Source organism: Homo sapiens, chromosome 2 (assembly GCF_000001405.40).
Source record: "Homo sapiens chromosome 2, GRCh38.p14 Primary Assembly".
NCBI classification, from domain to species: Eukaryota; Metazoa; Chordata; class Mammalia; order Primates; family Hominidae; genus Homo; species Homo sapiens.
Window position 1 is genome coordinate 175086587 of NC_000002.12, and position 18973 is coordinate 175105559.

At 34.2% G+C, this 18973-nt stretch overlaps 1 protein-coding gene across 12 annotated transcripts in view; it reads right to left on the minus strand.

Annotated features, from left to right (window-relative positions):
- Positions 1-18973, minus strand: part of ATF2 (activating transcription factor 2) — a 95945-nt gene that overhangs the window by 14328 nt on the left and 62644 nt on the right. For 6 of the 12 annotated variants that reach the window (NR_045773.2, NR_045771.2, NR_045772.2 and 3 more), the window contains 3 exons: positions 10858-11007; positions 6475-6681; positions 5957-6030 (listed from right to left, as the gene is read on the minus strand). Coding sequence is in view for 5 of the 12 variants with exons in the window: in NM_001256092.2 (NP_001243021.1) it covers positions 6475-6681; positions 10858-11007 (357 nt within the window). In the remaining 7 variants the exon portion in view is untranslated. The remainder of the gene's footprint in view (positions 1-5956; positions 6031-6474; positions 6682-10857; positions 11008-18973) is intronic. The other 6 variants (NR_045774.2, NM_001256092.2, NM_001256093.2 and 3 more) reach the window with 1 other exon arrangement.

An 18973-nucleotide genomic window follows, 5' to 3' on the forward strand; every position in this document is an offset into this window, starting at 1 on the left:
TTAGTAGAGATGGGGTTTCACCATGTTGGCCACGCTGGTCTTGAACTCCCAGCCTCAAGTGATCTACCTGCCTCAGCCTCCCAAAGTGCTGGAATTACAGGAGTGAGCCACTGCTCCTGGCCTCATTTATGATAAATATAGTAAATTCAACAAACTACTCCAAGCATTCAAGAATTTTAATCTCATAAAGAAAATACTGTATTTCTAAAAATAAAGATAGGCATGATTTATTACTATTCAGATAAGATGGCTGCATAAGTCCTGATTTTAATTCTGAAATCTTTCTATTAAGAAAGATCAGAAGACAGGTAGACAGAGAGAAGGGGCTGCTACACAAATATAATGGGAAGACTCCTTAAGTTTCTATACACAGAGACCTCAGAATATAAAAACAGAGGTTACACACACACACAAAACCAGTCTGCTTAAGCCAAAATAAATATCAAGGGGATGTTCAGCCACAAAAAGACTTAATATTAAATGAAAAAAAAATGTATACCTCTTACTATTTTGTGGATTATTTTAGACTAGATTTTAGTTGGATTCAGCCTCCAAAGTCCTTCTGGTTGTACTATCTACTATTTGTGAGTTAGTATACTTGCAGGATATGTTAGTTATCTTCCTGGGTCATTCTGAAGATGAAGTAAAATAAGGGATATAAAAGCATTTTGAAAATGTGAAAGTCCCATTCAAATGTGAGAAATCATCACTTTGTCAAAGTAAAACATATTTGGCAAGATGGAACAGATGCTAAAAGAAATTATTATTCTGGTCTAAAATCTAATGTAAATTATTTTGTCATTATCTCTACCACCGCTCCACTCTAATAATGTGGCTACTCAAAGGTTAATTACATAGCAGCAGACAAATTTTTCTTACATTGTCTATGTAATGTAAATCAGCCTGCTGAAATCATCACACGATAGCCAACTGACTAATCAATCGAAACTTTTATTGATATTTGGCCATGAATATCAGGTATTCCCTAAATTTATGATCTTTGACTTTCTACTTCAGCCATTACCCCCAAAAATAAAGAAACAGTATGAATAGTTTCTTATTTTGCGGAATTTCTCATTGCTATGAATTTTTAAAATGTTTAAGCCTCACAAAAGGCAGTTAAGTATCAAGTTTCCCTCCACACAGTTCCAAGGGTTATCGTGGAATGTAAAACCTTACATATGAAAACAAACTAGTTTTTAAAAAATTTATATTTTTAACAGAAAAAAAGACAAGAGTTCTCACTAGAGCTACAAAATATTTTGGAAACACTTTGCAAAATGAATGGGAATGACTCCTTTCCTATTCTCACACTTTAATTACTTGTTTCATGTCTGTCTCCTCTGCCACAAATTCTGTAAGTGCAAAGACAATGTCTTTTTCGCTGTTATCCACATCTAATAATATGCCTTGCACATAATAGATGCATAATGACAGAATGAAAAATAACTAGCATTTGCACAGTGTAGTTACAACACTGTTCTATACCTTATTTCAGTTGCTTTTCATAATAGTACTTATTCTATCAGTTTGACGGAAAAACAAAGGCTTAGGAAGATTCTTAGTAAAAGCTTCAAATGTAAGTATTAGATCTCAAACTCAGAATAAAATGCATGAGATGATGGCAGCTACACTAATACCCCTTTCTTTCATCTAGAATATAGTTAAAAACTCAGTGGAAAAACGTGGAAGATAGATCATAGAATTCAGAAATTAAATCAAAAAGGTATTATAATGTATCTTCCAATTATTGCTATTTTTTCCTATTTCAAGTGATAAATACTGAAATAAAATATTGTCTGGTACCAGAAATAAAAGATTTAATCTCATTTTCTATAAGTCAACGGACCAATAAAACCTTTTCCACATCATTAACTTATGAGTAAATAATTCTCTAGCTATAAAAGTGTGCTTTCATTAATTTATTGTGCTTCCACTCCACACACATTTTGCAGTATCTAAGTTATTAGGTTGGTGCAAACGGAATCACAGTTTTTGCCATTAAAAGTATGTTTTGCCGTTACCTTTAATGGCAAAAGCTGCGATTCTGTTTGCACCAACCTAATATAACAGCCAAATCCACACAAAAATAATTATCAAGTTGTACCCACAGAGTAACTGTTAAGCAGCTACTGTTAGTAAAGAAAAGGAATCTGCTTTTTGTTCATAAGGAAACATGCTACATTTATAAACTGAAAATTAACCCCCATAATGAGCATAACTGCAAGACAAAGCTATAAACAGGTAAAAACCATTTCAAGTAAAAGATAACAAAATTAACAAAATAGATATTACTTTAAAAATACAGTAATTGGCTGGGTGCAGTTGCTCATGCCTGTAATCCCAGCACTTTGGGAAGCTGAGGCGGGCAGATCACTTGAGGTCGGGAGTTCGAGACCAGCCTGACCAACGTGGAGAAACCCATCTCTACTAAAAATACAAAATTAGCCAGGTGTGGTGGCGCATGCCTGTAATCCCAGCTACTCAGGAGGCTGAGGCAGGAGAATTGCTTGAACCCGGGAGGTGGAGGTTGCAGTGAGCTGAGATTGCGCCATTGCACTCTAGCCTGGGGAATAAGAGCAAAACTCTGTCTCCAAAAAAAAAAACAATAATTTATAACCAACAGTATTCAATTTTTGGTCTAGATTACCATAAATGTCTCTAATATAATTTGATGAAATTGCTCTTTTAGCAATGATTTGGGAAAACTAAAACATGATTAAATTTAGTGAATGCGGCAATAAGGTTGAATATATTTTAAGGCCTAATATGTATTTGGTAAAAATATGAACAATCATACCTCAACACTTGTTAAACCTTGTATTACATATAAAATATATAAGTAAACTATGGGTCATTACAGCCCACTACACTGATCAGCTAAGCCTACATGTCACATGAAGGATCATCAAGGAAATACAGAATTGATTAATGTTTTCACATAAAGTAGGGTTTAATTATTTCTCTGACATTCAATTTTCTTTACAAGTCATTCTGTTCTTCACAGTTAACGGTTTTGCTGTTGGCAGACTGAAAGAAATTTTTCTCCCTGAATCTATTATAGGCATGTTAACTCTTCACATTCTGAAAGCTACAATCTGTCACTTTTAAAAAACTTATTTTACTTGACAAATAAGTAGAAAACAACAAAAAGTCAAAATAATATATTGACTTGAAGCAATAACAGAAAGTCATCATTGAAGTACCCTTTCTTCCCAAACCATCCATGCTCTCAATTCCCTCCTCACCATCGTTTGCACCTTGGTACATGTCATTTCTAAAATGCTACCTATACTTACGGAGTCATTTCTATACCAGTTCCTATACCTATACATTTACCCATCTAACTGTAAACCTTTTTATTAATAAGAAAGCATTATGCTTTATTAAGCATAATAATAATGCTTAATTTAGATGTAACTGACCTTTTTTCGTAATTTACCAAGGTGAGATTCATATAACATAAAGGTAATCAGTTTAAACTGGCATTTAGTGCATTCACAATGTTGTGCAACTACCACCCTCTGTCTAGTAACAAAATATTTCCATCGCTCCAAAGTAAAACCCTTACCCACTAAGCAGTTTCTCCTTATTCTCCCTCCCCCATTAATATGCCATCTCTCTCTATGGATTTATTTATTCTGGGTATTTCACATAAATGGAATGATACAACATCTGATGTTTGTTCTATATTCTTTCACTTAACATAATGTTTTGAGGTTCATCTACACTGTAGCATATACTTCATTCCTTTTTATGGTGGAATAATATTCCATTGTACATATAAACCACAACTTGTCTATCCATTCATCTTGGATGGACATTTGGGCTGTTTCCAACAACTTTCTTTTTGCCCATACAAATATATATATTATAGATATTTTCCCAGGTTAATATAAATAGATGGATATAATGCTTTTTCTTTTTTGGAGAAGTATTGTAAGTAAAATCCTTGATAATATATCATTTTGGATCCTATTTTAAAATGCATTTCTAAATCTAAGATGATGCCATCATCACCCAGCTTTTAATGGTCAAAAATACTGGTTTTACTTCTTCTGTACATAATTTGAGGTATTAACTAAACTCAAGTTCAAATGTAGAGCTTAATTTAGTGATTTCCTAAATTTAGCTTTCATTTAATAGTCTCATGCTTCAAAAAATGATGTCAGCAAACTTCTACCTAATGATAAATCTTATCTTTATTTCTCCAATCAAAAAACTTCTACCCAAATTAGGAAGTATATACAAAGCACTGCTACAATAATGACATTTTAATCATAGACTGTGTGACAGAAAAAACATGAAATAAATGGAGTCAAGATTATATTTATTTTGAATACTTAATTTTCCATGGTTTTCTGCAATAATAAAGGGCTAATAGTGGTAACCAGTGCTGCAGTGTAACTATGGAAACAGCAATATCTCATTAAAAGGTATTAAGATTGCTCTAAAATGGGTCAAAGCAGAAAACTTGCCCAGCTTAAAATCCCTGTAAATAATAACATATATGTATGTACTACTTCATAGTTTTCAGGTACTTTTACTTCTTAAATAAGGCATAATAAGCCAAATTACAAAGGAAAATAATGGTAAATTTGTCTTACTAGTTAAAATTTTCTGTACGAAGAAACCCTTGAATTGACTGATTTATGTAACAATACAGAGAAGTGGTATTACCACATCTATTCTACAGGTAAGACAACTGAAGACAACAGTGATTGTGTTTTATGTCATACAACTATAAAATAGCAGGTCATTCAGAAGATTTTGTTAGTTAAGAACAGAAAAAAAATACACATACCTAAATCACTTTGTTCATGTAATATTTGAAAATTTAAATAATAATAAATATTCTAACAGACTTGATATAAAATAGCCATTTTTGCAGCATAAATTAGTACCTACAGTCTGTACTATTAAAAAAAAAGAAAATTTAGAAATGTTTTCTAAAAATTTCTGAAACATTCTGGATTAAAAATTTATCAGATGATGGGCTGGGCACAGTGGCTCACGCCTGTAATCTAGCAATTTGGGAGGCTGAGGCGGGTGGATCACCTGAGGTCAGGAGTTCGAGACCAGCCTGGCCAACATGGTGAAACCCCATCTCTACTAAAAATACAAAAATTAGCCGGGTGTGGTGGTGCACACCTGTAATCCCAGCTACCTGGGAGGCTGAGGCAGGAGAATCACTGGCACCCGGGAGCTGGAGGTTGCAGTGAGCCGAGATTGCACCACTGTACTTCAGCCCAGGTGATAGAGTGAGACTCCGTCTCAAAAACAAAAAAACAATTTATCAGATGATAAATGATAAAATATATTTCTTAATAAACCCTAGAAGATAAGCACATATTTTAAGTCTATGTGATGTGGTAAGTTGTATTAAAATTTTCTTCTAAATCATTAAAATAAAATCGTTAAAAATAAGTTCTGCAAGACAATCTATTTGTTCTATCATGTCAATATTCAAAGCAAAATAAAGACTTAAAGATGTCTGCTTCACATTAAAAAAATTTAAATTATAAAACTTACATTTGGTTAAATGCTATGTCTGATGCTAAAAACTGTTTCCTAACCATTTAAACAGACAACTATATTGGTGATATCTTAAAGACAGATTTAAGAAGACAGCAGGTCTCTTACCATCAATTATGATTATACAGAAAGATTCACTTTTAACTGGGTATGGATAATTCAGAAGATTGAGCTAGACTAATAACTGCAATTCATTAACATCAATTTTCTGGTTGATACTTATCAGTTGGCAGTTTAAGATTATATAGGAGAATATTTACGTTAAAAAACACAACAAAAACAAAAGGAAGGAAGAAAAACAAAGGAAACAGATTCGGTGCTGCCTTAAAACTTTATACTCCATGAGGTTTTAAGAAATGTATCTGAGGCACATTGGCAGGGCAGTATGAAATGATCTGTACTGCCACTGGCCATATTGTACCTGGTCTGTGGATAATTAGAGTCCTTCAGTTTCCAAAGCTGTCAATCTGGCACCTTTCACGAGCAATATATTCACTTTAAATAAAACAAAACAGAACAAAATTTATAATTCAAAGAATGAAATAATTTAAAAATAAAAACTGCTACTGAAGAAACTTATAGTTGTGCTATAAACCAAAAAAATAGACAAGAAAAGTGAAATAACAGTGATATTTTTAAATTTTAAAATTCTCTGCACTTTATATCACAACTTTATAAAGTTCAAACCGGATAGTTTAGCTACTTTTGTACACAGGTAAACACATTTTAAATTTCTTCACTGTATCAGTGTTGAAAGTTTTATATTATTTCATCTCAGCATCCAAACAAACAGGTTTACAAAACTATGATTTACTATAGATTCCATACACACCCAATATCATGTCCTAAAATGTTTGGAGGCCCAACTAGGAAAAAAAAAATCTATGTTCACAATTATTAAAAAAGAAATAAAACAAAATTCACATATATGCACCATACCTGCAGCTGACCATTTAATGAACTCAAGTCTTCAGCTTTCTTCTCTAAAGACTGAACCCAGACTTTCCTTTTTTGTCGGCATCTTGAAGCTGCTGCTCTATTTCGCTCTAAAAACTTTCTCCTTTTTTCATCAGGATCTTCGTTAGCTGCTCTTCTCCGACGACCACTTGTACTTTGGGTCTGTGGAGTTGTGTGAGCTGGAGAAGCCTATTATAAACAGAGATGAAAGCCTGTTATATTTGTATCTAGTGAGTGAATTAACATAGGCAGTAAAGGGTGTCAAAGGGGGAGAGCAACTGTATTTTCTAAGTCTTGTTGAATACATCAGTATGTTGGGGCAATATGAAAATCACCCTGTGGTTTAACTTCCTTCTTGAATATACTTATGTTATGAGCTATGCTATAACACAATTCTCACTAATGCAATGTCACAGCAAATGTATTCTTTATGTATAATATTTTCATTTACATACAAATATGAAAAAATTTAAAATACAATACAAATGATATATAGAAATATTTTTCCAAGTATATTTTAACAGATTTTATTATATTATTAAATCCCTGGAAAACTAATTATAAATTTCTCAAAACGTTTAATAACTTCCTATTTAAATTCATGATAGAAAACCATGATTTCTATGCTATTTTTAAATTAAATATCTCACATTAAATGCCAATTTTCTTAAAATTTGTTTCTCTAAAGTTATGGAGTGAAAATATATATATTCTTTGGTATATTCAGCTTTTCTTCAGTTTGTGAAATTTAGGGTCAGTCTTTTTCTAAGGGTCAAGTTCTTATATTTATTAATACTCATTTTTCTGGTAGGGAGAATCCCACAGGAGCCTTAATTTTCATTTTAATTGTTCCCTCTGCTCCCCAATGAATCAGCTTGGTTATCTCAGATTAGTAAGAGAAAGAAATCTTCAGTCACTAGTAATATTGTCTAGTGTATAAGACTATAAAACAATAGGTATCTTCAAGTCTTTCACAAACCCCAAAACTGTGCCACAGAACAAATGAATATGGGTGTCAAAAAATGAACTCTTGGCCGGGCGTGGTGGCTCATGCCTGTAATCCCAGCACTCTGGGAGGCCAAGGCGGGTGGATCACTTGAGGTCAGGAGTTCGAGACCAGCCTGGCCAACATGGTGAAAACCAGTCTCTATTAAAATACAAAAAAATTAGCTGAGCGTGGTGGTGCATGCCTATAATCCTAGATAATTGGGAGGCTGAGGCACGAGAATCACTTGAACCCGGGAGGCAGAGGTTGCAGTGAGTCAAGATAACACCACTGCACGCCAGCCTGGGCAATACAGCGAGACTCAGTCTCAAAAAATACGAAAAAAAAAAAAAAAAAAAAAAAAAAGAAAGAAGAAAATGAGCTCTTGGAAATGGTGCAGAGAAAAGAACACTTTATGGCTACAGGCACACAATCCAAAGGAGAAGCCTGAAAACAATCTTTTACCTATAATTTATTATATTTAAAAATGGTATGCACAAATAAAATTTGTTTTCTCCTAATCTATGTAATACAAGTCTTATATAAAGCTCAAGATAAATTCTGCAGGTAAATTACCAAACTATTTTTCACTCTAACAAATTCCAAAAAATAAAGTTATCATTTCTTTGTCCAAATAACTAGCATTACAAAGAGAGTTATTTCATGTATAAAGTATTTCACGCCTGGGCAACATAGCAAAACCTCATCTCTACAAATAATTTAAAAAATTAGCCAAGTGCGGTGGCATGTGCTTGTGGTCCTAGTTACTCAAGAGGCTGAGGTGGGAGAGGATTGCTTGAGCCTGGGAAGTCGAGGCTGCAGTGAGCCATGATCGCACCACTGTACTCCGCATGGGCAACAGAGGAAGATCCCGTCTCAAAAAAGAAATATTTTAATTGTAATAAAGATTAAGCATTTAAATTAGAGCGTTTATTTTACTTACATAATTGCAACTTAATGTTTTAGAAAAATATTTCTATGGCTGGCTTCAAGATTTGCAATCTTGAAATTTTTTTCTTCATCCTCCTATTTTTCTTTTTCTTTTTTTTTTTGAGATGGAGTCTCGCTCTGTGGCCCAGGCTGGAGTGCAATGACGTGATCTTGGCTCACTACAACTTCCGCCTCCTGGGTTCCAAGTGATTCTCCTACTCAGCCTCCCGAGTAGCTCGGATTACAGGTGCCCACCACCACACCCAGCTTAATTTTTGTATTTTTAGTAGAGACGGGGTTTCACCAGGTTGTGGTCTCGAACTCCTGACCTCAGGTGATCCACCCGCCTCAGGCTCCCAAAGTGCTGGGATTATAGGCGTGAGCCACAACCTCCTATTTTTCTTATTGAGAATGGCAGGTTTTTTCTTTTACTCATCTGGCTGAATAAGAGAGAACAGTTTATTTTTGTTTTTAATTGATTTAACTCATTATAGCAAAGACTAATCATAAGTACTAGCAGAATAACAGAAGCTTAATTTCTGCTACTCAGAGTTACATTTGTATATTTTTATGCCTATCAAGGATTGGAGGCTTCTTAGAAGTGTATACTGCTCCTTCTCTCCCCATGTCTATTAATTCATTCTATTTCATTCAGAAAATCCTTATAGGAACTATTCTAGAAACTAAGTATAGCAGTGAACAAACAGATAAAGTCCTACCCTCATGGGGCTTCCATCCAATACAATAACATATAAGGATATAAATAAAAATTAGATCCAGGGAAACTATAGTTAGTGCAAGAAAGTAAGGACAATAAATTATATTCATTTTTTAGAAATAACCCTTTAAAAATGTAAAAAATCATACTTAACTTGCAGACCACACAAAAACACCCATGGGTTGCATATGGCCTGTGAATCATTGTTAAACCCTGAGGTATAACATTAACACATATACACAATCACTCAGCCCCTCATTTTCCCTTTTGGTCCCTAAGTAAAGTTGGTTAGTGGATGACAACCACAACTACATTTCATTATATATTAAGTTTTTAAAAGACAAGATACAGTTATGTAAATACCTATGCTTAGGTGGCAATCTAAAACTTATTTATATGTGTTTCTTTGATTGAAAACTTTTGCTTTTTAATGCCAATGCTAATATTCTTCAAGTAAAGATAAAAGGTCTAAATAGAATTCTGAAACATTTAACAGGAGTACAATAATCCTTTACTAGAAAGAATTAGAAAAGCACTGCAGGCATATAACAATATCAATCATCTCATAGGCAGTCACAAACTAGAGATAAGTGAAAGGGGTCTCTAGTATAAATAGCTGCCATAAAGCATATTTGCTCCTTTGGTGATGTTTCACAAGTTTTAATTCAGGAATCATTTGATTTATGTTAGTAATGTAATACCTACATATGTGTGTATATGTGTGAATATTTATCTACCTATTTCTCTAAAAGACTTCTGATTACCTACAAGTGAGATAAGGTTACTTATACAAATAAATAACAAAGAGTAATGTTTTACAATGAGTGAGCAAATATTAAAAGCAGAAACAAGAATTATTTGTTCTGCTAGTAACGGAAACAGAAAAAACATCTGCCTCTTTGGGACATACACACTTTAATGGTTGTAGATGGCAACACAATACTGAAATATGATATGCATTGTAATCATAAACATATGGCATTTTAGGAAAAAGGAAAATCAATAATTTTTTAAGAAGAGATCCAAAAAGATTCTTTAGAAATCTTAGTTTTGCTACTTGAAAAAGAACGTAAGATTTAGTTACATACATTTCTGAAGAACACAGCATCTCTTAACAAAGAAGTTGTTATTGTCTATAAAATTTACAGAACTTAACCTATTAAATTTTCCTATAACATCAATACTTTGGTTACATAGGAGAACAGTTCAAATCAAACCTGTTTATGCCACAGCAAGAAAAAATATCTAGTGTTAATAGTTACAGTTTATGTCAAATTTGTAGTTTTGGACAATAAGAAAACAAGATACAATTTCATTCTTCTCACTATAAGGTTCTAATATTATTTTTCTGGTTATATAACTATTTTCCAAAGTCATAACTCTATAAACTTCTTCAATCAGGAAATAGAGAGTAAAGGAAATTTCTCAAAGCAGTATTCAGTTTCACTGTCCTAAAATCAACAGAAAAAGATGTTTTCTTTAAAAAGAATTGTGACCAACATATATGGACACCCACAGAAATATTTGCAGGTGTCCTGAACAGAAACACTGCTCTATTATGTTTATTTTTGTATCAATACTTGTATACTGAGCTACCTTTTCCTGAGGCTTTTGATACATCTTTGGAATAACAACATGACCAGAGTAATATTTTTTAAATAAGCCGTAAGTTACACTGTACTTTTCTGTTTAAAGATGACAGAGTGCTGAATAATAAAAACAACACACATACCGGAGTTTCTGTAGTGGATGTGGCTGGCTGTTGTAATGACTGCGGTCGAGATTCCTCTGACTGAGTCCTAACCAATCCGCTACCATGACCTTTGACAGTATCACCATTGGTAACTGGAGGATGTTGCTGGGTCAAAGCAGCTTTTAATCTCTGCAATGCAAACACCATTAAAAATTTTTTTTAAGTCCTTAAAGATCATCATGAATATCAACAAGACAAACAATAGCACCTTGGGTAGTTTCCCTGAGTCCTTTTGCCTAGTACTACTAGAGGATTCTGTATTTTGCTGTTCCTAGTGAATTTTGAGAAAATAATAATAAAGGCCTTAAAAATGTAACATCATGTCATTGTCCAAGTAAGCACTGGCACCAAACCTGCAAACAGAGATCAAATGGGCCCAAACTGAGCCTCCTCCAAGAACCTACAGCTGGGTTTGTCTCTCTTAGGTTTTCCCTGTCCCCAGTAAGCAGATCTAGTTCTCTTTTGCTGTTGCAGGTTTGCCAGTTAATTATTGGATTGTACTGGACTCACATTCAGAGCATGACAGACCTAGTATTAGAATGAGGCCCTAGATATTTATGTCTACCACTTTATCAAGCAACAATTTGAATGAAGCTTATTATGCTATCAATAAAAATTTGTCATATGCAACTATTTTATCTCCCAACCAGTTAGTAAGCTCTCTAAGAGCAGAGATTATCTTATACTTTTGGGTATTCCTTTTAGCAACTGATATAATGATTTGCTACATAGGTACAAAACAAACATATCTGTTAACTGATAGAAATTGGTTTCTTTAGTGAAAATGGTCATATGTGATCTTTAAGGTGGTTTTGTTATGATCTGTAAATATGAAATAATTTGCACAGATAATCAGACCACAGTATCTCAGCAATGAAAGGGACTTCAGGGATCCAACAGACCTGAGACTATTATTGCTGATACTGTTCTTAATAACTGAGATGTAGTTCTTGGGCCCCAAATACATATTATTACAGGAATTGGAGTCAGAGTTATGTATATTACACTTTCCTAAGATTCTTATAGAGGTGCATCTTTGAGGGGATGGAGGCTAATAAGAGAGTGAGAGCGAGTGCAACTGAGAGACAAAAGAGAGATAGAGATGTGAGAACCATGTTGCAGCCTACCCAGTGCTTCCCAAACTTCTTAGAAATACATAACTGTCTGGGGTGTTAAGTGTTAAGAACACATATTCTTGGCAATCTTTTCCTTTCTTCCTTCCCTGAGTACAGCAGAAAGGGGTGAGTGAGAGAAGAGCTTTTAAAAAAGACCCCCAAATAATACCAGTACAAGTATTTCCATTCACTTCAACTAAGAACAATTCAGAAATTTTTATAACTATTTCAAAACTTGTAATTTCTTCCTTTTCATCTAGGCCTATCTTCTTACTGTCTATCATATGTGATCCAGATCCCATAAAAACTGAAGCATATATGAAAAGATCACCGGAATTTCAACTGAGGCAGTAATTATGCGTGAACAAATGTTAGTGGACATTTTCTCTCTCTTGTGAATCACCGTATATTCTGGGTGTGATTTTTAAAATAAAGTCAATTTGTAAAAAGAAAAGTTTTTTCTTGAGATATAAGTTACACATAGCAAGTTAACTCTGTTTAGTGTACAATCCTATTAAATTTCTTTTTTTTTTTTTTTTTTTCAAGAGGGAGTCTCGCCTGTCGCCCAGGCTGGAGGGCAGTGGCATGATCTTAGCTCACTGCAACCTTCACCTTCACGGTTCAAGCAATTCTCCTGCCTTAGCCTCCTGAGGAGCTGGGATTACAGGTGCATGCCACCACGACCGGCTCATTTTTGTATTTTTAATAGAGACAGGGTTTTGCCATGTTGGCCAGGCTGGTCTTGAACTCCTGACCTCAAGTGATCCACCCTCCTCGGCTCCTAAAGTTCTGGGATTACAGGTGTGAGCCATCGTGCCTGGCCTCTATTGAATTTTAACAAACAAATACACTCATGCAACCTACCCTACAATCAGGATACACAGCAGTTTTACCACAATAAAATCCTCATGCCCTTTCCTGTCATACTCTCCTTCTACTCCCTGGCCCTGGAAACGACTGATCTGTTTTCTGATCCCAAGAGTTTTGTCTCTTCCAGAAGATCACATACTTGGAAACATACATTGTATAGCCTTTTGAATCTGGCTTCTTTCTCTTAGCACAATGCAGTTGAGATTCACCTGTGTTGTTGTATTATCTGTAGTTTTTTAATGAGTTTTTAATTGTATAGTATCCCCATTTTACACTTTAGGAAACCAGATATCATTTGCTCAAGGATGCAGAGCTGTTAAGCTAGTTCAAATCCTGGATATAAACCCAGATCTCTTTAATTTCAAGTGCAAAATATTTCCACAGCACCATGCTGCATACTTTATCCTTGGTGCTACCAGAAAACACAGGGAAAACTCAAGACAGAGAGTCTGAAACTTTGTGGCTTAATGATTCAAAAAACAATCATAAGGATTTAGAGTGCCAAACCTGTTACTGCAACTGCTAAGCCAGGATCTGGCATGTTTTCTCCCTCTTTTCTGACAGACTACTTCTTTATGAATTATAAAAAGTACCACTTATGTAATATCCTAGTGCTTTCACTGATTAGAACATGCAATGTACTATGGTCTTATAAAGCTGAGAATACACTTTAGGTTCAGAACCTAACTCTACCTCAAACTATCTGTGACTTTGAACAAATCATTGATCTTTGAGTCTCAATTTCTTTACCTATAAAACTGGGAATAATAACTTCCTTGCAGAGTTGAATTGAAAAATAAATATAACATGTAAAACTATCTGACTCGTAAAAGAATTTTTCAGATGTCAGTTTCCTTATTTCTTTTAAGAATACTACTGAGGCCTCTATTTTCTTAGCACGGAGGTCCAAAGAATCAGGATAGTTCCTATGTTTCTGAATTTTCAAAATATCCCTAAGGGTCATCTTAAGCATTGGTTTGATCCCAGACATATTTTATATATGAGATGTAAAAAGTAAAGTAGAGGTTCCTCTTCAAAGACTCTCCTCCCCATCTAATTAGGAATAAATAGTAACTTCTCTTAGAAGCAAAATTTATTCAAAGACCTGTGCTAACATTCAAATATCTGCTAGCCGTAATAAAGAAATCAATGTACTTTATGTTCTTAGCTCCCACAATTTACCTACATATTTGCCCTGGCATGCGTATACTGGTCCAAGTAAGCATTAGGTCATAGCCTGTTCCTCTTCCTTATTTGAAGGTGTTTTTACCTTTCTTAGCATTCCACAAGTTACTTCCTCCTTCCTTTGTTCTCCTCTGCCTTTGCCTCTTTTAAAACTTCTAAGTTGCTAGCCAATCAGGACAAATACAGAATGTGAGGTCCCATTCCAGCCAATGGAAACTGGACACAGCAGTAGGGTGGATGCGTCAGGTTATAAATGACCCTGTCTCCTTTGTTCAGTGTACTCTCATGGGAAAACTGCTGGCGAGTGTACCCTTTCTGCAGAAAGTAAAAAAATTGGCCTTGCTGAGGAAATTAAATTTATGTTCAAGTGCTATTTCTTTACAGCACCGGGGAACAAGTAAGCATTCCTAACAGAGACATGCTCAAGACCATAAGAAAAACTGAATTTTTTAGAATCAAGATAAGATTCCTAGTTCCTTTTCTAAACAATCAGAAACAACTATATTAGTAGCTAAAACATAGGAAATTAGGACCCTAATTGATGGGATAATGTGGAAGTGGATGGATTAAAACTGAAATTAAATGCGGGACTAAAGTAGTAGCTGGCTAGAACCAGATAGGAATACTTAGAAAAACGATCAAGAAGTATTTAAAGTAGAAAGACCTGAGTTGGAAAAGTGTGGGTCAGAACAAAGGGAGAGAGTCTTGGGAGGTCGCCAGTCTGCATATTTATATATTTTATAAATAGAATGTTAGACATCAAAATACAATGACTAGTACCCAGTCTATAGTGATAAATTGGGGCTTTCATTTCTAGTTTTAAAATGTGCACAAATATAACTAGAAGTAGAAATGTGAGGCTTAGTAAATTATGTGTTTGGAAAAGATTTTTAAGTCCTTAGGTAGAAATTATCATAGAATTGAAGAGCATTTAAAGTTTTACAGTGAAGAGCTTAACTCTCAGAATTAATGAAATACAGTAACTGCACATAGGGGAGCCTGAAGTACATAAACATCACTCTCTTGAATAATCTTTAGTAGGGCAAGTTACTACCTTATAAAGCACTTAAAAGCAGCATCAGTATTCATTCATTATCCTTCCTTGACTGCCCTAGGGTATACAGTACTCATCCAGTGAGGAAGCTCTAATGTTTGCTCCATGCTGTTACATTGATTACAATGGGTCTGACTTGAAAAGTATGCCAGTGGGTATACAACAGAAGAAAAAGATTTTAAGGGTTAATTAACACTGTTCTAAACTGTCCATTAATTTTTCTAAAACTACAACAAAAATGCACACACGCTAAAAAAATTAGACTTAGGTCAAAAAAGCAGTCACTAAATATCATTCATATAAATTTTACAATTAATGTAAGGATATCTACAATCCAGCCATACATATTTGTTAGGAGCATTTGAAGAAGGCCAAATACTTTGGTTTAAAAAAAAAATCAATGAAAACAAATGTAATGAACATTTATTTTACAATAGAATTTTGGAGCTAGCAGAGATAATGAAAGTCAATTAGTCCAATCACCATCTTACAGATACAGAAACTCCAAAAAACTGAAGTTACTTCCCAGAATCAAAGTTAGCAGAGATAAAACCAGAAACTCTATTTGTTGACTCCCAGTTCACCAAACATATTCTAAACAAAAGCTTTGCCAAACTGGAGCTCTAGTCTAATGTTAAATTTTCTAAATCTATTAGTAATCAATTAAGTTAAGCATCTGATATTGGTCAGTCCATTACTAAGATCAAAAATCTCTCTCAATAGACAAATTTAATATATGTAAATAAGGATTAAGTACTCTAAGAAGTAAAGATTGAGCACTCATAAAAATTAAAGATTTAAGGTGGGGTGTGATGGCTTATGCCTGTAATCTCAGCACTTTGGGAGGCCAAGGCAGGACTCCTTGAGCCCAGGAGTTCCACACCAGCCTGGGCAATATGGTAAAACTCCATTTCTACAAAAAACTTAAAAATTAGCCAGGTGTGGTGGTGCATGCCTGTAGTCCCAACTACTCAGGAGGCTGAGGCAGGAGGTTTGCTTGAGCCCAGAAGTTTGAGGCTGCAGTGAGCTCTGGCCTGGGTAACAGAGCAAGACCCTGACTCAAAAAAAAGAGGAAAAAAAAAAAAGGAGGACTTTATAAGGTCTATATTATCCAACATGTACAAGAAAACTTAGGCATAATTTTAATTTAAAGTAAAGGTAGACTTTGTTTGATAAACAAAAATGTCTTCATTATGTTTCTATGAAACAGACCAGTATTTTAATGTTTAATTTTCAGTGATGTAAAGTTCAACTACTATACTGAAAACTCTTTTTCTTAGAGAGATATAGATTGTTTCAATTAATTAAAGGATGAATAATTTGTTGTGCTGACCAATCTGACACATTCGCTTTAAGAGGTGATCTCCTAGAAATAATTGTCATTCAAGTTCTATGTTGCACCCTTGAAAATAAATTTTATCACATCTGTCAGAACTTAGTAGTAGGAACAAAGTACTCCATCACAGTTCAAAGAAAAAAGATAATGTTCTCTAGAAACAATTTATGAAAAAGTCAGATCCATATTTCATATGTGCCACAAAAGCTCATCAGAGTAATAACCCTCCTTCTCCTGGGTGTTATCCTACCATCTGCTGCTCTATTACTTATCTTTATTTTGCAACTAATTAACAGCATAATCTTCTAAATTCAGCAAGTTAATTATCATTATTGTGGTCTTTGCAGCATCATCAGTCCTCATGAAATCTTGTCACCCCACCCCCAGAGAACATATGAAAATCAAGTAGGTTGAGAGAGGGTCTGTTTCTTTGGAGTGGGCTCATTAGGTATTTGCTGATTAGCTCGGCATGCAGAGGCAGGTCAGAAGAATTCTGCTGAACATGAGGTTCCATGCAGGGCCCAACCAAGTTAATGTAGGTTTCTGAACATTTGCCAAGATGCCCTCTGTCAGCTTTCAGTAGAAACCCCCTGCAGAAAACCTACTGGCTACCCACTGTGTGCAAAGATATTTCTCAGTTTGTCACACATCTTAAAAAAAAAAAAAAAAAAGATTCTGGAGGATACTATTTAAATACTTTACTAAATCTTAAAATTCCCAGATGATTAACATTTTCTTATTCAGAAGAGCTGCTTTTTGATTACAAATATTACAAAAGAAAATTGTTTTATTAGAAGAGTAATATGATTTACGGGCTTAACGACAAACAAAACCCTGAAACCAAAATTTAGTGACAACTAGTCTAATTCTGTAGAAAATTATATCCTGGGAATTTTTCTGTTGTATTAAAAAGTACTATATAGTCTTTCATTTTTCGGTCCCTATCGACATTTAACACATGCTTACTTTTCCAAAGGCTTAAAGTTCTTAAAAATTAAAAAATACAAGCTTACTCTGAAGACTTTTTTTTTTTTTTAGCAGAAAAGAAAGATCTTATTTCAGTATTCACAGCACACACAAACACAATGCATACATAATATCTTCCTGGAAAGGCACTGAACATCTGAAAATCAGAGAATTACAAAAACATCCTATGTTAGCATACAAAGTAAACTTCTCTTTAGCTGTAGTGTGCTACTCATTCTTCCATGTTCCAATCCCATTATTTTTAACCACAGGTCATTTTAGCAGAATCACTACTGCTACAATATACAGCATGTTATTAACAGATTGTGATCATAAAGGTCTAATAAATTCTTGAGAGAGATGCAGAACCCCAAAAGGATGATGTTTAAAATACTTTCAAAGATCTGAAAACAACAAAGTAAAATCCAACAAAAGCAGTAAAAGAAGAAATTACAAGTTTTAAGGTGGTGGCAGGGTGGGGGGGGCGGTGCGCAAACAGGTGAAGAGTCAGAAAAATCACTTAATGTGTAACATGAATCTAGGGAATGTGAGCTGGGAACCACTTATTTGGAGAATGTGGACTTGGAGTTCTATCTTTAAGGCATGAAAGAATCAAGTTCTGTGACCATTTATCTGGTCATTAAGAAAGCTCTGTGCACTGGGATACGAACCCATCTTCAATGTTCTTCAGTTGGGATGACAGAATTGTTTATATGGTGAGTCTTCTTAAGCCCACTGAAGCTTAAAAAAGTAAACCAATACCACTGACATTTTAATTTCAAACTTAAATTTCAAATAAACTATACCTATTTGGTATTTTACGTTCTACAAGTATAATCTAATCTAACTTGCCAAGCGGAATAACACGTTACCCTTGGACTTTAAGTGAAAATGTTTAATTAAGAGATTGACTTGGGCCTGTGATTTTAGTTGTTAAGTGCTGAGATAATGGGCCTGTGATTTTAGTTGTAAGTGCTGAGATAATCTTAAGTAAGCTTCTAAATAATTAATGAATATTTAAGAAAACTATGTATCACTAAGTTTAGTTAAATTTAAGAATTATTTAAGTACTTAAGAAAGACAATTGAGAGAATTATTGAGTACATAGCTTTACATGTATATAGCTTAGCGTGTTTAAGATTATATTTTAAGCTCTTTAAAAGCAATCATTACATAACTGTACATGTAAATTGCCTTGAGAACTTAGGAAAGCACTAGGTTTTTAAACTTGTAATCTTAATAAATCTTATATTATTTTTTAAAAGTAGTCCCTGAATAATCATTATGTGTACAAGTCACCATCAAGGGCATTAAAATCTGCCCCCCCCCCAAAAAAATATGAAATCAAAACCCAAAACAAAATAGCTCATTGATAAAATACAATCCTAATTGCTACACATGCTGGAAAAGAAAACCATAATGGTCTTCTTAGAAGAACATTCTTTTTTGACTCTCCTGATGGCTACTGAACACATTTGCAAGAAAAATCTCAAAATTTAAGATCATGTCTATTGAATTTCTTAGAACCCAAGAAATGTTTGCCATGTAACAATTGATAGAAATAGCTGT